The sequence below is a fragment of the Homo sapiens genome, chromosome 7, assembly GCF_000001405.40.
Source record: "Homo sapiens chromosome 7, GRCh38.p14 Primary Assembly".
NCBI lineage: Eukaryota > Metazoa > Chordata > Mammalia > Primates > Hominidae > Homo > Homo sapiens.
Genome location: NC_000007.14, coordinates 36578722 through 36600274, shown reverse-complemented (window position 1 = coordinate 36600274; position 21553 = coordinate 36578722). Strand labels below are relative to the sequence as shown.

The 21553-nt window shown below is 40.0% G+C and overlaps 1 protein-coding gene and 1 long non-coding RNA gene across 17 annotated transcripts in view; both read left to right on the top strand.

Annotated features, from left to right (window-relative positions):
• AOAH (acyloxyacyl hydrolase) overlaps positions 1–21553 on the top strand; it is a 211554-nt gene that overhangs the window by 124220 nt on the left and 65781 nt on the right. For 15 of the 16 annotated variants that reach the window (NM_001177507.2, XM_011515334.3, XM_017012102.3 and 12 more), the window contains one exon: positions 5845–5936. In NM_001177507.2, the coding sequence (NP_001170978.1) occupies positions 5845–5936 (92 nt within the window). Of the gene's footprint in view, positions 1–2493; positions 2641–5844; positions 5937–21553 lie in introns of those variants that run through there. The other variant, XM_011515342.3, reaches the window with a different exon arrangement.
• On the top strand, positions 155–2441 carry AOAH-IT1 (AOAH intronic transcript 1). The gene is made up of 3 exons (NR_046764.1): positions 155–532; positions 1969–2114; positions 2393–2441. It is a non-coding gene; the product is annotated as an AOAH intronic transcript 1 (long non-coding RNA).

Sequence of the window (21553 nt, the reverse complement as noted above, 5' to 3'; positions counted from 1 at the left end):
CCAATCTGATACATGGTAGTTGCTCTAAAGTGTTTGTAGAAGGGAGAGAGGGAGGAGAGGAGGGAGGAAGGCTGCCTCACAGAGTTGTGTAATTGAATTGAACAATTTGTGCAAGTTTTTCCTGTCTCAGTGCCTGGCACATAAGGGGAACCCCGCATTAGTTCTCTTCCCCACTCTCGCTTAATGCAAGTTATCTGGGAAACAGCACATCCAAGCATCATGAGTAGGTTAGACATTTATTTGTAGGACAGATTCATGCAGCAGAGGCTACAGAAATGGGAGTCTGGCAGGAAAGTGTGTGTGAAAGCCAAGGAAGGCTCTGAAAGTTGCATAATGTGGTGCTCCCACAAGAAAGGCACTAAGGTAATGGGAGCGGTGGGGACCTGAGCAGATGGGAGGCAGTGTGGTGGCACGGTGGGACTGAGAGGCAGAAAGCAGGAGGAACCCTGCTTACCTTCTGCAAGCGCCACTGCAGGACAGACGGAGGAGGAGCCAACTAGCGGAACTGGGAGACCCATGGTTCCAACGCTAAGCAGGTAGCCCTTGTCTTTGATTCCCGGGCCTTGAAACTCTCCAGCGTTATTAAAAATACCAACCCAAGAGCTATTTTCTTTTTTTGGTAAAGTAACAATCCCCCATCTGCTTTGAGACTTTAATTCTGGGGAATGGATAAAACAATGCTTATTTAACTGGTGATGACATTTTTTATCTTTTTCCAACAGCAGTTACTTAGATTCCTCCAAGTGACTTTGTACTGTTTGAAAATAATCCATTCAGGTCTAATGCAGGTACATGTAATAGAAAAGGGAATATACTGTGTAGATTGTCCACAGCAGTGCAGGATGGAGAGAGCCCAAATGTAAACAGTGAAGGAAAGGCACTGAGGATACTCCCTGCTTTGCTGGAAGACTGGCAGAATCAGATGAATGAGGGATTGGTGTCATTACTCTCTTTCTCCCACACAACAAAGCTTTAAGAACATCAATTGCTTGCTGACATTAGGGCTTAAAATATTACCAAATTCGAATTATTGTATTTACTAAATATCCATCAAAAATGGGAACCAGTGGGCTTTCTCGATGCATGGAAATACACACACACATACCCACACACAGGGAAACGTTAAATGAAACTATTACACAAAATAGTAAACATGTGCCAACTATGCTGTAAAAATAAATATCTATCATTGATAAAGGTCAGAAGAAATTTTGAAGCAATGCGGTAGTGATCTAACACTCACTAGGTTGCTCACGCTCTTTAAGTTTGGAAAATTTTTCTTGGTAAATATTCAGTCTTTTTCACATATGTACATTTAAGGTACATTTAAAACGAGTTTCCTAAGAACATAAATGCTCAAGAGGAATAAGCAGGAGTTGATGAGGAAAATCTTAATTTGCATTCCTCCTGCCTCAAATGCCTGAAGTATCTTGGATATAATGTTGCGTGAATAAGGCTTTTAGTGTTTAATGTGATAGGACTTAAACATTCTCTTTTTGCTAGGGTCTATAAAACATTTGCTATTAATAGCCACTACTTTTCATTTTTATCTACCAAATTTACTAAGGAAAAAAAATATGCCAAGGCTTCTATTAGTGTGCTCAAACCTTTTCTATTATCTGGCAAATAAATGTCACTCCTCTTAAACCTGGGACAGTTCACTTGGAAAGGGACACTAGGTGGTCTGCCCTAAACATGATGCTTCACATAGTAGGGCTCTGACTTGTCAACCTGCTTCTGACTGTGTCTTTTGGTCTTCCTCACAGTTTTGCTGAAGTAAATAAGGTGATATTTCTATAGTCATTGGAGATACTGAAACTGAAATACATCTTCCCCAAGTTTGCACACTAATAACAGTAAAGCCTTGGCTTAACACCAGAAGTGAAGTCTAAAACATTCAACCAGGAAAGCACAGGTTTGCTATATTTTGAAGTTCATCGAGTGACCTGGTCTGCCTGGGCCTTCCAGGGCTCCCGCTGAGGAATACAAACTCACCCTGGCCCCAGTTGTGATTCAGCACCAGCCACTGTCCACTCCAGCTGAAATCCTAATGGGGATGATTCCAAGACTAACTAGTTTCTGAGATATCAGCAAGGATTCCAGGAATCTCCCAGGTAGCTGAGTCCCATTTCTTCAGATTAATCCACAGAGAACTGAGCTTGGAGAGTGTTAGCAACATGGAGATCCCACTTCCCAAGACAGGATTGCCTGCCGTTTTCCCACCTACCCTACCCCTCCTCTCGACATCCCCTCTTCCGCCACTGAAGACAAGAAGTTCATCACCCACCCCTGACCGAGAATGAGGGTTGCCGGGGGTATGGAACTTATTTCCAGTGGTGTCAGATCCAATCATGGAGTTTTCTTGATTTGTGTTTCTTCTTTGTATTTGTAGAGCCAGACGCAGAAGACAGATCATCCGATTTCTAGAGCAAAGCCCTTTCTCTACTTTGCTGGCACACTTCAGAATTATTTACCCCTCCCTTAGTGTGCCAGGCTACAGAGGGTATGCCTATGCCTGCGTAGTTCTTGTCTAACTCCTTCCTGTGAAAGGGAGAGCAGTCCCAGACAGAATCAGAAACCTAGTTCCTCATCCAGTTTCCCAAGTCTGGAGTTGCCATTGCACGGATGACAGAGAAAAAGGTGAGGGAGTGGGGTGGAAAAGAACCATATCATTCTTGTAAGTTTCAACGTGTTTTGCAGGTTACTGACTCAACACAGCTCATAAATTCTGCCTGCATCTCGCAAGCCACTTGCTTACTCACTATCTCTGCTAAACATATCTTGTGAGTTTCATCCATTCTATTTGTTTTTCTTGTCTTGTCTGGCAGAATGAATATTCTCATCCTACAGTAAACACACATTGTAAGCAGAAAGATGTAGGGAAAAATAAGATAAAACACAGAGAAAAGTTTTGCTTTGTAGTGGCAGGAGAAATAGAAACTCAAACAGATAATAGCTGAGTCACAGTAATGGTGGAGTCTCGAGCAGAAAGTGGTGGGTGCTGAATGCTAAGGGGTGACAAAGTACCTGTCACTGAGACTGCATGGTCCTCTGAGATTTACTGGGAGCTTTCTTTCTATGGGGTTGTTTCTGGTTTTTAAAGAGGATAAATCATCATTAATACAGGTGCATCCCAGGACGCCATACTTCCTGACCAACTCCTCCCTCTTCCAGCCCCTACCGTGCTGGAAATCACACTTAGGATAAGAATAAGGATGGAGGTTTCGTGGCATGTGTGGAAGGAGGAGGCAATTGAAGAAGGAGGAGCAGAGGAAGCTCAGAGACCCACAGAAAATATACAGGATATCATGGGATGACTGCTGCTGCGTTTGAACACATTTGTTTGTTCTAGGAATTATTTTGAAAGTAAACATAGTAAAGGGGTTCATGTCTTAGCCCTTTGAATAATAAAAGCAACAAGCATATTGTCCGATTCAAGCCATGTATTAGTTTCCTTGGCTGCCATATCAAAGTACCACAAGCTGGGTGGCTGAAAACAACGTAAATTGATTGCCCCAGAATTCTGGAGGCTGGAAGTCTGAGATCAAGATGTCAGCAGGGTTAGTTCCTTCTTGGGGGTCTGTGAAAACATTTATTCCATGCCTCTCTTCCAGCTTCTGGAGACAGCTGGCAATCTTTGCCATTAACTGGATTGCAGAAGCATCATTCAAATCTCTGCCTCCACCATTGCACGGCCTTCCCCCTGTGTCTTCATTTCTGTCTCTTCCTCCTCCTCTTCTTATAAGGACCAGTCATACTGGACTGGGGGCCCATCTTATTCCAGTATGACCTCTTCTTAACTAGTTACATCTGCAACGACTCTATTTCCAAACAAGGTCACATTCTGAGGTGGGGTTAAGACTTCAACACATCTTTTCGAGAAACATAATTCAACCCATAACAGTCCACAATTAAGAAATATAAATTTGCATTTTATTTATTTTGAGTGCTCATTCTCTATCTCTCTGAAAATAGGAGGATTGAGTTTTTCCCAGTTTAAAGATTTATGGTAGATTTCACGTATAAACTGTTTTATATATGACACAAACTGTTAACCGTGGTTATCTCACAAGAGTTATCTCTTAGGGGAAGGTGACGGGGGGTGGGGGGGCTTTCATTTCTGCATTGTAAATGACTATAATGTTTGCATTTCTAAAACAAACCCATGTACTACCTTGCAATAAGAAAGAACAATGACATACTTTCAAGGAGTTAATGGCTTTTCTTTCCCTCGCAGCCTCTAGCATCAGAGTCTCCTTAGGAGAGGGATCTTCATGGATGAGGAAAAAAGCAGGAGGCCAGGGGCATGTGCCATTTGGAAAATTATGCTAAAGCTACAATTGTTTTGACATGCTTGTCTTTAGACATTACTTTATTTTAAATTTTAAAATAGCATTAAAGGAGGACTCAAGGTTTTCACATTTACCCGAAGGGAGCACGGATTTTCAATATTGAGAAATACAAAGGCTTCTTGCAGCCACTCATGGAGGCTTCCAGTCAGCGAAGGCAAAAAGGGAATATTGGCTTTTAAAGCTTTCATCCAAAGAAAGATGCCCAGATAAAATACAAGATACTCAGTCAAATTTGAGCTTAGGATAAATAACAAATTTTTCAAGTATAAGTATGTTCCAACCATTGCATGCATGAGACATACTAATCCAAAAAATTATTCCTTGTTTGCCTGAAATTCAAACCTAACTAGGCATCCTTTATTATTTATGTATGTATTTATTTATTTTTGAGACAGAGTCTTGCTCTGTTGCCCAGGATGGAGTACAGTGGGGTGTGATCATGGCTCACTGCAGCCTTGACGTCCTGGGCTCAAGCAATCCTCCTGTCTCAGCCTCCCATGTAGCTGGGACCACAGGCACATGCCATCATACCTAGCAAATTTGTTATTTTTTGTAGAAACCAATTTTAACTATGTTGCCCAGGCTGGTCTCAAACTCCTAGGCTCAAGCAGTCCTCCTGCTTCAGCCTCCCAAAGTGCTGGGATTACTGGCACAAGCCACAGCACCTGGCTGGTACCCTTTATTTTTATTTGCTAAATCTGGCAGCCCTATTCCAAACATACCAATTTAGATAAGCTTTTTCTAAAATTTAGACCACAGGAGAGATTAGTCCCAGAAGTCACTCATAAAAGGAGTAAAATGAGGTTGTAACTCATCACATTTTTCTTTGCTGATTTTGCACAAGCCATGGAAATGTGGTTCAAATGAATCCTATTTTTGTCAACACTTTGTATCAGGAGTTCTTGACAAATTGTGCAGGAGTTGCAGGGGGTCCGTGAGCCTCCTGAAATCACAGGCCAGGTTAAATACACGTGCATTTTTGTGGGGAAAGGAACCACAATTAGATTCTCAAAAATGTCTGAGACCCCCAAGAAGGTCAGAGGGCACCACCTTAATGCCTTAAGGCCATAGCTTTGAACCCAGGGAAGGCATTTTTTTCTGAGGGATTAGGCATTATTTTTCAGATTAATTACTTTTCAGATGATTGACTTTCTGATGGCCTAAACTGCAAAATGGAGAAAATCTCAGAAAATGTAAGAATGGGAAGTTTAGTCTGCTGAAGCATCCCTCCCAAGTGTTTGAGATGCCAAATGTTCTGCATGTTTCACAAGAGCTGAGCGGAAGCCAGGTCAAGGGTGGTGCTGATCATTGTGACTTCCCTGATGAAGTTGAAGGTTAGAGACATCTGCCTTGAATACCAAAAGCCCTTAAAGCGAGAGATTGAGAGTGGGAAACAGACACACAGAGAGCAACACTCAGGCCATGAATTTTCTTACTACCTTTAGAAAATAAATGACCATTTTGATAATTGCTACTTTATTGTTTTCCTTAGAACTCTTTCATCAATCTACCAACAGCCCTTACCAACGAGCTTGACTGGCCCCAACTCTCTGGTGCTACAGGATTTCTGGACTCCACTGTTGGGTAAGTGTCTTTGTGCACCCTCAGACATTTCAATACCTCTGTGTAAGGAAAGAACAAGAGATGGGGGTTGCTACCAAGATGTTGAAATGCGAATTATTAGGAACTGCTTCTAGAACATGAATTTGAGTTCATCCACCATACAGTAGGATGTAATGCAAATTGTATTTTAGCAGCACTGGCAAGAAAAGCATATTCCTGCTATGGGCAGGGTGGGGGTGGAGTTCCATAGTTTACCTCTGATGGAAAATACTAAACACATCACTGAAATTTTCTGATTCAAGGAAAAACAAAGTTTACTTATTTGTTCTCAGAAATAAATTTGTAAAGATAATGGCCAAAGCTGATTGGCACTTCTCAAAGTCCTAGAATCATCCTGGCTTTAATGCCCCAGATTTGTAGGTAGAGACCAGGCCTGGTGAGTTTGAATGACACACAAACCCAATTCACTACATATGCCTGGGTGTTAAGGCCTGGGGTCTGCTTCCCAGGGCCCACACTTGGCAGGGACACCTGTGATGCTGGTGAAACTTGGCAAGTGTCCCTAACATGGTAGTAAACCACAGATATGAGTCTATGGCCATCCCACCCTGAACACACCAGATCTTGTCTGATCTCTGGAAGGTAAGCAGGGCCTGGTTAGTACTTGGATGGGAGAATGTCACAGATATGAGAGGCAATTTCTCTCCCAACATCTCCTAAACATTTATGACAGTTAATAGGCACAAGGAAGATGGCAAATGAATGGCTTCCATGTGTAAAAAAGAAGAAAGGGTAGAGCTTTGCTTTTAGGTCTAAAGACAGGACAGAACCAGCTAGGAAGCCCCTCTCTGACTCAGGCAAAAATGGCAGAAGGCTGGAAAGCACCATGAGATAAGCCATGAGAACTGTGAGGAGGGCAAGTGTGCATGGGGTGTGATTTACCCAAATCTGTAAGGAACAGGAATGCCCCCAAAGGACAGACATTAATCATTTTAACAAGCAATTATTCTGATGAACAAAGAACATTGTGTGCCATGAATAATTTATTTGATGATTTTTATTCATCTGCTTTAAAAATATTTCTTAAATACTTAACCACCTAATCAGGCACAGATGTTACAGGTGTCCATTTAAAGGTAGATAGGGCTTGTCCCATCTTTGTAGTCAATTGCAATTAAGGCAGATGAGACAAGTGAACAAATAATGGTAATGCAAGGAAGATATACTAATGACAGGTCTCCTACAGAGCCACGGGGCTCCGAGGAAAAAGAGTTCATGGAAGTGATCAACAGTCACTTCCTTTGGGTGGGTAACACATGGGAGACTGGGGTCATAAAAGGGGCATAGAAGAAACTAGGAAGGGAACTAACCTTCAGGGAAGCGTACTCATATTTACATAGAAATAATCTGCCAATATAGGGAAAGCCAAGGAGATGTGTTTTCCAGTGTAGTTATACCTTTTCAAACTTAATCATGTTATTTTAAAAAAGGCTAGTCCTTGTCATTAGTGTAAAAATACTAAAATACTTACTAATAGGGATAGTAAGAAGTAACCTTTGAGAAGTAACAAGTAACTATATGCCAAGCATTTACTGAGTGTTGTATAGATATTCTCTCATTTAACCTCCTTGTGAGGTAGTGGGTATTGTTCTCTGCATTTGCAGTTGAGAGATCCAAGGGCAAATAGACAGAATAAGAATCTTGACCAAGGTTGCCCAGCCAAGAGTGGTAGGGTCTGTTTTCATGGAACCTTGTGTCATATCATAACAAAGATATGTTCTTGCCTCTCAAACTTTGTGTTGTTTTTATTCTTTGTGTGGGAATATGGCTCACTCTAACCATTGTCCCTCTGTGTGAGAGCATAGCTATGGGATGGAGAAATGACTAAGAACCAAGAGAAGTCCTCCCCATGTAGAGGTGTGGCCTGCACTATTTCAGTGACCCATCATATGCCTCCTTAGGGTCCCAATAAGCACAGACATCTGGGACTTTCTGAGTCCTAGCCTCAGTCCCATCTTCCCTCTGCTACAGCCTCTGTTGTCTTTACCTGGAACACATCCAGAGATAACCCAGCCAAAGCAGGTTTATAGAAGAGAGAACCTTGGTCATCCCCCCAATTTCAACATCAGAAAATAAAAAAATATATATGTTTAAATGCCCTCCACCCAGTCTAGTCATTTCTCAATAAAAGTATCTGGAATTTTCTCTCAATCAAGGCTTTTATGACAATAACAAAAAGAATTAATTAGGTATGAACAATGAACACAGTTTACTGTACCTTTAATGAAAGCTTAAATTTTTACATATTGACTCTATAAATCCCAACTACCTTTTGGCCCCATGAAGTTGCCATAAAAGAAATACCGATCCGATATTTAAAATTAATTTCCAAGTAGTTTAAATCTTTACTGGAGTCACTCAAGGAATGAAAGAGGAATCCATTCACCATGCCCAGCAAACAGATAAAAACATGTTTCCTCATCTCTTTCTGCTTACAGCTCGCACACACCAGTAGTTGCTCTGTATTTCCTAAATCTAAACTTCCCCAAAACTTGACCCACACTTAGCTCCTTCTCCCAAACAGACTCTGTTCAGTCATTTTGAGTTTCTATTGGGGGATGAGAGGGAAAGCTCCCTTTTCCTTTCTGCATCTGTTCTGTCCTCCCACCAGGGGTTTACTCCCTTATCAATGTAAAATCCCACTAGCTCTTCAATCCTGCAGCAGTTTTTACCCATCATCCTGATCAGTGCCCAGCAGGCAGACAGGATCTTCCATCAAAGCATGGCAATGGGGTAAGGGGAAGAGGAAAAGTTGAGAGCCTTCAGACATGAATGGTTTCTAACTCTTATAAGCATTATGCAGAGAAATTCTGACACCATCTCACAAAGTAAGTGACCATCTAGGTGTGGCTTATATGAAAACCATCTCTATCCTGAGCTAGTCTTTATTGACCTAGTACCTTTTTATATTCGGTTCTCTATTACTGCTTACAAAAAACGCATAGTCTGCTTAAGCAACTTCCTTAGTGTTGACTCTAAGTCCTGTCCTTACCTGTTGTATTTCTAACGAGGCACACACCACAGCTGGTTGTTCACCTCCCCTGCAGGAACTTTTCTTTCTATGTGTTTGTGGGACCCCAAGCTCCCTAGCTGTTCCTCTCAGAATGCTCTTTTTGCCAGCTGTTTCTGTGTACTGTGCCTGTGTTTGCTGCCACTCAGCTGGAGTGGAGAAGAATATACCAACTCCTTTTAATGGAAAAGGAAATTCTCTGTTTGGAATCTGAGTTGCAATGGATTCCCCCATTAAGCAGAAACAGAGGCAGCATGACACTGCATCTGTGGGATCATAATTTGCTATGTCCCTCCCAGCAGTAGTTACAGCTAAAGTATCCATATACCATTGTATAAATTATATTCACAGATAATTTGTGCTAGGCCAATCTCCTTATTAAAGGAATAGAAAGTTATAAAGTATATAAAAATATCAAAGAGATTAGCATATGATGGAGGTCCTCATTTGTGGAATCAGGAAAATGAAAAGAATGTTGACCCAGAAGCAGCACTTCTGAGAGGTGTATACAGCTCCCATGGGCATTTTGGGCACATGCCCTTTGAATCCAAATGCTTATCCACAGAATTGGCGGATTTCTCTATTCAACTGGATCTCCAGAATGCGCTTCCTACCATCATGATCAGCCTTCTGCTATGGGTGTCAACAGCGTCCTTTGGAAAATGTGCCTTGTGAAAGCATCAGGAGAGGAAATGGCTCCTTCCCTTTCATTCTTTGTTTATGCTCTTTGTCCTCTCAAAATTTATTATCCCCTTCATAGATAACTTTAATTGAAATTATGTGCATGCATTAAATGACAAACATAACCCCTTAGTTTTACAAACCTTTAGTTCTTTTAGTTGAGTTGATGTTAACAAAAACTGTTTTCTTGACTCTTGGGCTTCAGAAAATTCAATAAGTGATATCCCTTAAAAAATATACTGGGATTTTTCTTCAGTGTGATTCAGGAAGAGATTGAGTAGGTCAAAAGCAGAAAAAAAAAATCTCTGTGGGGGTTAAGAGCTTGGCAATAGAGCAGTATAACTGTAAATAGGAAGAAAAAAGTATTTTTAAAAGATTAAAAATAGCTACTGGGCATCTGAGGTGAAAAGATTACTGGAGGCCAGGAGTTTGAGATCAGCTTGAGCAACATAGCAAGACCTCATCTCTAAAAAAATATTTTTTTTTAATTAGCCTGGCATGGTGGCATGTACTTGTAGTCCTTAGCTACTCAGGAGGCTGAGACGGGAAGATTGCTTGAGCCCAGGAGTTTGAGATTGCTGAGATTGCTGTGAGCTATGATCACGCCACTGTACTCCAGCCTGGGCAACAGAACAAGACCCTGTCTTTAAAAAAGTAAAAATAAAAAAGTAAAAAAAATTAAGATTAAAAATTGTACTTCATGTTCAGATCACTTTCCAAAGCAATTCATATAACAGGAAAATCCTACTTACATTAAAGAAACCAAAGATCTAATACCACATGTAGAAAGATGGGAAACAATACCAAAACTTTTACAAGAAGGAAGGACTTCTCATTTGAAAGCATCATTTAAAATCCCAGAGTAGGCATGATAGAGTGAAAGGAAGTCTGTATTTTCAGTTATAAGGGTGCTCATTCTGTGTTATTCCAGGTGGAACATTTAGCATTCCTCAACCTCATTTATGTGCTCAAGTTAAGTTGGACTAGATGATCTCTGACGTTCTCTCCCACGCTCATTGGGCATGGTTATTGGGCAACATGATCCTACTTTATGACGCTACTTGGTTTAGAAGTACTGAGGGAAATTGTTCAAGAGAGATGCTCCTGCTTCTGCTACCCACTATGTCTTCCCCTACTCCTTAACTAGCCTGTACCTCAAGACAAGACATGGCTAACTTTATGGGTCAGAGCCTGAAGTTCTTGAAACAGTGTTTGGCCAGGGTATAGAGCCTATGGTATAGTGCAGTCTCATGCACAGTAAGCCCTGTGTTGTGTGATATTGAGTGCTTGACAGGCTGTTAAATAAACATGGGACTCCATTATTGTCCTTTATGTTTACTATATCTCTCCAGCAAACCCAAAAGAGGAAAACAGGCATCTAAGTCCTTAACAAAAATAGCCACCTGAACCCAACACATCTAAACTGAGCATTTCTGGCCGTTCGTATCCCCTTATTCTGAAGGTGGGGCCAGGAGTCAGTCCAGTCAGTAGGGTTCTGCAGACAAGGATAAGTGATAAGGATGAAAAACAGGGCAGCAATCAGAGCTTTTTCAAAAAAAGTAAAAAGCTAAAATTCATCATAAAAAGCAATGAAGGCCAAAAGAACCAAAAGCAGCTACCAAAATTGTCACACCAAGCTGGAGAAATAAAACTGAGATCTGTAGTCAGCATAAATGAGTGCAAACCAGATGACATTTTCTAGATTAAATGTTGCTCCCTCTGCCTCCAGCTTAAATTTGGCATATTGAACCAAAGATGTAGCAAATACTCAGACAAAGCCATTGTTATAAGTGGTACAATAATGCTCTTCAGGGGCATTTAAACACACCTTTAGTGAGAGGTGTCCTAGAATAGAAGCGTTAAAGGTTATCTATTCTCTCCTACCCAATAGATGTTATATGAGAGAATAATTTTGAAAATCAGTGTATAACACTGAACCAAGTCACTTGGGGCAGTAAAGCCAGAAAATTGGAGAGTAGGGAATTGCAGCTAAAATTTGCTAACCTAATTTCATGTTTCAAAAAAGGACATGTAAGTACTAAACACTAATGGGCCTAATAACCTTATTAAATCCATTATTCGCAAATTACATGTGATATAATTGCAAATGATTAGCCCTGTTATAATTATACTTTGCAAAACAAATAATTAACCAGAGAGGTGGTCCTCTGAAGTTGGGTGAGGCTGATTGGAGTGGGATAGTGTCCATAGCAGCAGTTCTCCAAGTGTGGTCCATGAACCCCTGTGGGGTCTCTAAGACCCTCTCAGGGGGTCCACAAGTGAAAAACTACTTTCACAACAATACTAAGGCTTTCCACTATGTAGCCATTGGTACAGATGGTACAAAAGCAATGGTGGGTAGAACTGTTGACACGTTAGCGTGAATCAAGTGCTGGCACCAAACTCTATTAGTAGTCACTGTGTTCTTCACCTCCCAGTTTAAAACAAGAGGGGGACATCCTCCCTTAAAAATGTCACATAGTACAAAGCAGAAAAAACATTATTAATTTTATTAAATTGATTTTTAAATAATTTAATCTGATGAAATGTGAAATATGCATAAAGCATTTGTACTGCATAATAAATTAACAAAGGATGATGGCTGTCTTAGGGAAAAGCACTTGTGTAGGCGAGATGAGAGCTGAGTTAACTTTTCATGGAACACCATTTTTATTGAAAAATTACTTGATAACAAATCATGGTTTTTCAGACTTGGATATATGGCAGATACTTTATCTAAAATGAATGAAATGAGCTTGTAGTTTCAAGGAAAATAATTGTTTGAAAATCATATTTTCAATGTTTTGTTTCAAACATTGTTTGACAGTATTGTTTGAAAATCATAAAATTTGAGCTTTCAAAGAAAATATTTGAATTTTGAAAACTTTGCATCTGCTAGTATGAACCTGACAGTTTCCTAAGAGTCTAAGACTCTTCTAATGTGATATGTAGCAATATTAACAAAAATGATTTTTTTATATTATAGCATTAAATGTATCAACATTTGGAATATCTTCATAACTCAGGAACCAATATTTTCTAAATATTAGTGTATGATTAAGATGATGCATGGGTAAAAGATTCATTAAAAGTGCAAGACAGGCCAATGCATTTTAACGTAACAAGGTATTAAAGATAATTGATATAATTTCAGCTTCCACCTTGCAACTAATCAATCTTTAAGAAACTACTACTTGTTGAATTCTTGTGTAGAATCAAAGACAGCTATCCATAGTTATCTAAAAAGGATACTGAAGTGCTCCTCCCTTTTCCAACTACATGTGTATATAAAACCAGATTTTCTTTTCTTTCTTTCTTTTTTTTTTTTTTTTTTTTTGAGACGGAGTCTCTCTCTATTGCCCAGGCTGGAGTGCAGTGGCGTGATCTTGGCTCACTGCAACCTCTGCCTCCTGGGTTCAAGCGATTCTCCTGTCTCAGCCTCCCGAGTAGCTGGGACTACAGGCACACGCTGCCACACCCATCTAATTTTTTGTATTTTAGTAGAGACAGGGTTTCACCATATTGCCCAGGCTGGTCGCGAACTCCTGAGCTCAGGCAATCCACCCACCTCAGCCTCCCAACGTGCTGGGATTATAGGAATGAACCACTGCCCCCAGCCAAAACTAGATTTTCTTAATATACCCTCACCAAAACATCGTAACAGACTGAATGCAGAAGCACATGAATCTACCTGTCTTCTATTAAGCCAGACATTAAAGATCTTTGCAAAAATGTAAAACAATGCCATTCTTGGAGGGTTTTGGAAAACATATATTTGTTTTTAGAAAAAAAGTGACAAGTTAACATGTAATGGATTTATTATAATAATCTAAAATGAATTGATAATTAAATGTACATTTAAATTTCCCAATTTTAATACCTAATGTGATAAATTTTGACAGCTTTAACTCACATAAGCAAAAGCTCTCTGAGTTCTTCAATAATTTTAAGAGTGTGAAGTGGTCCTGAGAGCAAAAGTTTGAGAACTTTTGTTCTAAGGAGTAAGTATAAAAAGGAAACATAGCTGAAGACAGAGAGGCTAGGAGATGCTGACATTTAGAGATCTGGGCAGAGAAGATTGAAAAGGAACAACCCTGAAAGTAGAAAGAAAACTGGAAGGGCTTACAGTCCTGGAGGGCAAGGAAATAAAGTGTTTCCAAATAAGAAGAGAGCATCAGCCAAATGATGGGGGAGGCAGAGGAAGATGAGAGCTGAGAGTGACAACTGGGTGTGCAAGACAGGGACCTGGAGAGACCTGGAGCAGAAACATTTCAGTGGGGCGAAGCTGGAAGCCTGATTGGAAAGAATGGGTTCAGGAGGTGATGACATCAGCTTGGGTGAGCATGTACAACTTTTAATGGGTTTTGCTTCAGAGAAATGGGGCAATAGCAGCAAGGGAATAATAGATCAGGAAGACTTGTTAAAATGGAAAATCCTGCAGCATACTTGTATTGATAGGATGATCTAAAAGGCAGAGAAAGGGAATGAAGGAAAGAATGAAGCCTAGAGAAGGCAAGAAGGGATGGGACCCAGGCATAAGGAGGCACCATCCTTGGGCAAGACGGACCATCTGTAGACACCATGGATCCTGGTGGAGGGACTCTCCCTGCCATATATTGACAAAGCCCTTCACCTGCAATGACTTCCCCTTGTCCCTATTTATTTTTAATTTTTCATTTTTAATTACTCAAAATATGAATATATTTTCATTGTACAAAAAAATTAATGTGTATAAAGTAAAAAGCTGAAGTCCTCACTTTTTGTCCCCAGTTTTACTCCCTTTCTTAGAAGAAAGCCCTGTGATCAGTTTAGTGTGATTCCATCCAGGCCCTTTCTGTGTATTTTCATTTGTACATGAAGAAATGAACACTTTGTTGGGATTTTCCCATAAAGGCTATCATATTGTGTTTAACCTACTGTAAATCAGTGCTTCACCTTAGCCATACTTCTTGGAGCTCTTTTCCTTCTTGTCCAATACTGCATAGTGTTTCATAGCATAGTTATTTTTTTCTCCTACAGGTGGACATCCAACTTATATCCAGAGTATCATTATTCTTCGTAATGCTGCAATGAGCATTTTGTACTGACTCTTTGGAATATGTGTGAGGATTTCTTAAGAAAAAATTATTGGACCCAAATGTTTACATTTTTAATTTTAATAAGGCCTCCAAATGGGCTATACCAATTTATATTCCCACAATTAGTATATGAGAATATTTGTTTTCCCACACCCTTGCCAATACTGGATATTGTTCATCTTCTTAATTTTTTCCACTATAACAACAACATTGTATTGTTGTTCTCACTTGTAACCTCCTGACTACTAGTGAGTTTGAGCATCTTTTCACAGGCATCGCCCGTTGTCTTTGTCCTATCTAGTCGCCCTCTGCCCATGCTGCAGCACCTACCCCTCAGGGATCATCCCCCAGCCTCTCTGTCTTCAGCTACATTTCTTTTTTATACCCCTCCAGACAGCCCCTTCATACTGACCCCCCATCTAACTGGATGATTATTTTCTGAGATCCTATCATGTCCTTCAATACCAATGTCACCTCACTTATAATACCTGTTTACTACTTGTCTCATGCTCCACCTTCCCATGCCCAGACTCTGAGCATCCTGAGTATGGGAATCAGGTGACTTCATTTTGTAGCCCTCTTACCTGGCACAGTACATGACACATGGCAGGTGCTCAATAAAAGAATTGCTGAACCAGCTCATAAGGATATCAGTTTGCCCATGTAGAGTGCTTTACAATCTGCAAACCTCCTTCATGTGCATTTTGTCAGATTATCTAAATCAAATAAGATTTGTTGGGATTAACATTTTGGGGGAAATAGGCAAAGGAGTATAGCTGAATTAGCAACTGCATGATGTGATATGTAAAAATATGTAAAAATAAATCAGCGTAAGTTAAACCCTTGGAATTCTAAGTGTGTCCTATAATAAGTATTCTGCAAGAAATTAGCAAAATTAATTAAAATATTAAATCACACAATTAACATTAAAATATTAGCCATATGTAATCAACAAATAGGAGAAAATGAATTTAAAAGAAACATCAATTCAGTAGCCAAGTGGAAAAAATGAAATAAAGAGATTTGCTAAGAAGTGAATTTGGCTAATGATAAGTCAAACCTTGATGTGAATTTTTGCCCAGAATGATGTAATTTTGCAACCCAGATTAATCAAAGTAAATGAACACTCTACAGATTTCTCTAGTAGAATCGTTGTAACCAACTGAACTTGAGATTTTAGGCCACCTCAATGCTTAAATACAGATCACAGAGATAATTCATCAATATTCTTCATAAACTCTTCTGCGAAATATGAGTTCCACAAAATGTTAAAGGGTACTAACACACATTTCTTAAAAGACGTGTTAAGTCAAATAAGTTTTGGAAATGTTAATTTAAATAAAGGGAAACAAGCTTATTTGGTATAAGGCTTATTATAGCCTTCACTATGCGAAAAAGCATTGTATATCCTCAAAAAATATAAAACATTCAAAAATATATAAAACATTTCCTAAACTTATTTGACCACAGAACTATGTAGAATTTGTGTGTGTGTTTTATGAGAAAAATTCAAAGAAACTGGTGTTTCACAGAACATCCTTTGAGAAATGCCGTTTAGGTCATTAAAACCATCTGCTATGTCACAAGTAATCTTTTCAGATGTATAAGCCTCCACAGCCTTAAATGTCTCCACTTTATCACAGTTTAATGTTCACCCTAATACAGTGGCCTAGAATCAAATCTGGGGCTGGGAAAGGCCAGGATGGAGAGAGCTACACCTGCTTCAAGCTCAGAGAACAGGAGGGGAGGAAATCTTAGTGAGAGGTTAACCTAACAGGTAGGAAGCCTTGTCTGAGCCCAGCAGCTCATGAATTATTGAACACAATGCCTATGAAGTCTTTTTCCCTGTACTATTTTTCTGGTCCAAATTCAAAATTTATCATGCTGTCCTGCTAATCTTTTTGTATGTGAACTCCTAGGACCTCCTCTGTAGCCATCCTCACCTCTGCATAATTAGCTTATTGCCAGTCTCTCTGAGTCCACGGTGAGTCATATTCTGTATGTTTATCACTCTCTGAGGCTACATCTTAGTTGTTCTATGATGTAGTGAGTTAGGGGTTACACAGAACTCTGGGATGTGGCTAATATCAAAGGACTGAAAGGAATCTTAAAAGGTCTTTAATCTATCTCCCTGGCCCTATGCTGGCCTGACCTCCATCCACATTAGAAAGAAAGTTATCCACCCTTTTCTTAAATTTTCCTAGCAGAAAAGGTCCCTGGATAAAGCCTTAAAGCCTGTCTAGTCTCTAAGTTACCCAAGTTTATCCTAATTTACTCCCCTCCCTAACTCTTCACATCAAATATCCCCAGGTATTTCTCACCAACCCTACTGCTGGAGCCTGTTTTTTGTAACTTATTCCCTAAGATTCAACTTAATGGAGACTCATAATTTATACCCAAGCAAGCTGTGCCTCTGGACAGAGTCAGAAATTGCCTAACAAGAGGATCACCTGAGGTCAGGAGTTCAAAACCAGCCTGACCAACATGGTGAAACCCTGTCTCTACTAAAATTACAAAAATTAGCTGGGCATGGTGGCATGCGCTTATAATCCCAGCTACTCAGGAGGCTGGGACAGGAGAATTGCTTGAACCCAGGAGGTGGAGGTTGCAGTGAGCCGAGATCATGCCACTGCACTCCAGCCTGGGTGACAGAGTGAGACTCTGTCTCAAAAAAAAAAAAGACACTGACTAAGAAATTTCATCAGAATATGCTACATCACTCTTGCTTGAATCATATCACATCTGGTTTACCTCAGAGATCTCTGGCAGGCTACAAAGCCTTTGGAAGAACTCCATTTTTGCCTCTCTCCAAATAGGTTCTGCCTTGAGTCAACATGGGAGGCCATCTTTTATTTCATTTTAAATCAACCTGTTTAATTTGTCTACATTACTCTTGAGGCCCATTCTTGATATTACTCTGTTTTGTTCTACCGAAATGCAGTGGGGGAAGGCATTAGGAAGCTCTCAGAAAAAGTGATTTTTTTGTGTTCCCTGAGCCAATGTTGGGAAGAGTAACAGCCATTCTGTTTGAGTTTTACTCATTTTGAATTACGGTGCTAGAAATCAAAACCCAATCAGTGTGTTTTCACATGAAATGCCTGTACTGCCAGGCCCTCCAGTAGAAGGAGCTGGTGAAACTGGAAAGTTAACGTGACTCACTTCCATGCCTATGCCTGGAGTTGAGGATTCAGTTCTGTAGGCATTGGGCAAAGTGTGGAGAAAAGAACTTTTAAGTACCCGTCTTGTGCATCCCTCAACTTACAAGCCCAAAAGCAGTCACCTCCTCCTAGCACATTGGACCGGATTTTGATATATACAACAGAGCAGAAAGAGAAAAATAAAAGATCACACTGGAACACTGGATTTTTGTGGAGAAAGGAGAGCAAGAGGAAGAGGATTTGAGGCCAGAATCATCATGATAGTTTAGCCTCATTATGCATAGCATCCTAGTAGCCTCAGCTTGTCCTATGACTACAAGCTCAAGACCCTGCATATATATAATTTTCTATTAAGCTATCTTCTCAATTTGCAGGCATATCAAAATATTATATTGATCCCACTATATACTCAGGATTTCTGAGCACTCCTTGAGAAATGCAGTTCCTAAAATATATAAGAGAGATTATAGATTCGGGATGGGGATGAAAGAAAGCAGTATCTTTTACTATGTGAAATACTTTCTAGTGCTTGGTACAAGGCTTTCATCCCAAAATTCTAGATGCTATTTCTAGTCAGAAATGTTATTAGAACTATCTCCTATTGGTAAAGATTTCTATATTCTTATAATGAAAGGTGCAACTAACTGTATCTATAATATTAATACCTACACTATTTACTCTTCATGAGCAGGACATGAGCAAAACAATATTTTGGTATATAAATTCCATTCTCAGAATGATCAAAAATACATTTGTGACTAAATAGGTAAGAATTACTTTCCCAAAGAAAAATAACCCCTCTTTATTGACCATAAAATTATTTTAGTATCAAACTCAGATCCAGTGTCCATTTCCCATCTGTTTTTCCAAAATATAATAAAATACTCAAGGCAGAGGGCATAAGTGACGCAGTGTATAAGGTATCCATTTCAGGCTTTTGAGTAAGATAGCAGATTGAACACAAGCACTTACATCTCTCCCTTGAAAAGCCCTACTCTAACGACAGTAAATGAATTTGTCCAAGAGGACGAAGAGAACAAGAAGAGCCAACAGCCACAAAACGTTGGAAGCTAGAAATCAGACAGATGAATGGTAACTGACTTAGTAGATTCAGGAGAGCTGCATCCTAAGCTGGTTGGAGGGAATGCCAAGAAGCAACCCAGTTCACACTGCAGAAGCCCCAGAAGACTTGGGGATTGGTTACATGTGGGAGCTGTAGAAATGCAGGTGAGGCTAAACCAGAAGTATTGGTTGGAAGATTGCTGAAGAGCAGTTAGCTCCTCAGACCCCTTCCAACTCTCCACAGGTGGTCAACTGCCCCTCCCATACTCTGGAATAAGACTAGAGCTTTATTCTCTGGAAACACTAAAGTCAAGGGCCTCTGGACTGGAAGACACCAAACATAAATGAGGAGAGGAGTATCCTACGGAAACACATGAATGCTAAATGTTGAGGACCCTTCCCTACATGCCCCAGAGTGTTGCCAACCCAGCCTGTACTCTCCTGGCTGCAGACTAGAAGATCCTTCCCTGGGGAATCTGAACAGCCCAAGAGGAGAGTCCCACAGATGCTGACAGCAGGGTTCCCCAAGAAAGGCCCAGACAGCTCATCTTGCAGTGAGGGCTGTAGTCAACAAGCACAGCCAGGGGCCCAGCTTCCAATCAAAATCAATTAGCTTTTTAGCTGGCAACTAGTTTCAACATTTAAAAATAAGCCTATAACCCAGGATCATCACACATCTGAAGGAAACCTCAAACATGAAAGAAAATACAGAAACAAAGGGGAAAAAAAGCAACTTAGAGAAACACAGACTATGTACTAAGGGGGATAAAACTTTTTAGAAAGTTTAATAGCCTACATATTAAAATAACTGAAATTAATATCTTCAAAAAGATAAAAGAATTCTATAGCAGACAAGTGCTTCAAAAAAGGATAAAAGAAGATGTTACATTCATAAAACAAGAACATTAAAATTAAAAAGATATTCAGAGAACCAATAAGGTCATTTGGAAATTATTCTGGTAATAGCAGACGACATTCATAGAAAGATTAAAAAATAAAGTTGAGGATATTATCCAGAAAATGGAGAAAAAGGTCCATGACATGAAAATAGGACAGAGAAACAGGGAAAATTACAAGACCGGTTCAGATGACCCAATAGTTGTAGGGAAAAAAGAGAAAGGAAGAAATCATCAGTGAAATAATTTAAGGACATCTCTCAAAACTGAACATCATGAATTTCCAAGTTGAAAGGGTTTATCAAAGGTCTAACACTATGAGTAAAATCAGACACACACCAAGACTGCCATCATAACATTTCAGAACACTTGGAATGAGGTGCTACCATAGGCTTTCAAAAGATCAAGACACAGAGTTGCTTCATACTTAACAATGCTGGGGAGGCTAAAAGCCAAAATCAATCAATTCCTTCAGACTTGTGAGGGAAAAATATCATAACTGTGATGGTTAATACTGAGTGTCAACTTGATTGGATTGAAGTATACAAGGTATCGATCCTGGGTGTGTCTGTGAGGGTGTTGCCAAAGGAGATTAACATTTGAGTCAGTGGTCTGGGAAAGGCAGACCCAACCTTAATCTGGGTGGGCACAATCTAATCAGCTGCCAGCATGGCTAGAATATAACCAGGCAGAAAAAATGTGCAAAGAGAGACTGGCCTGGCCTCCCAGGCTACATCTTTCTCCCATGCTGGATGCTTCCTGCCCTTGAATATCAGACTCCAAGTTCTTCAGTTTTGGAACTTGAACTGGTTCTCCTTGCTCCTCAGCCTGCCTACAGCCTATTATGGGACCTTGTGAGAGTGTGAGTTAATACTAAAAACCCCCCCATATATATATATATTCATTCCATTAGTTCTGTCCCTCTAGAGAACCCTGACTAATACCTAATACAGATTTATGTTATTGTTGTATAACAAACTGCCCCAAACTTTCATGGCTTAAAACAATAGTCGTTTTATTATATCTCACAATTTGGGGGGGGCGGGGTTCAGGAATTCAAGCAGAGCTTGGCTGGCCAATTATTCCTCTCTATATGAAATTATGGTTACTCAGTGACATCACCTAATGGCTGGGCTGGGCTGGGCTGGGCTGGAGAATCCAAGATGGCTTCACTCACATGATGTGCCTGGGAAGGGACAGCTGGCAAGGCTGAGTTCAGTTCAGCTACATAGGGCCATTTTTTTTTTAAGCAGTTTTAGGCTTATGAAAAATTTGAGGTGATTGAAACATGGAGGCGGATTTCTCACACATGGTTAAGCACCATCCCTGTTGGTACTGTCCTCAGGATAGGGAGTGAGTTCTCATGAAATCTTGTCATTTAAATGTGTGTAGCACATTTGCTTGTTCTCCTGCTCTGCTTTTTCCATGTGACATGCCTGTTCCCCTTTTGCCTTCTGCCATGATTAGAAGCTTCCTGAGACCTCCCCAGAAACAGATGCTGCTATGCTTCCTTTACACCCTGCAGAACCATAAGCCAATTAAACCCCTTTTCTTATAAATTACCCAGTCTCAGGTATTCCTTTATAGCAATATGAGAATAGACTAATACAATGATAAATACTTAGAAAATTAAGGAAAGAAACAAAAGGCAGTTATTAACTCTACAGAAATAAAAAAGTTAGAAAGAAATTAG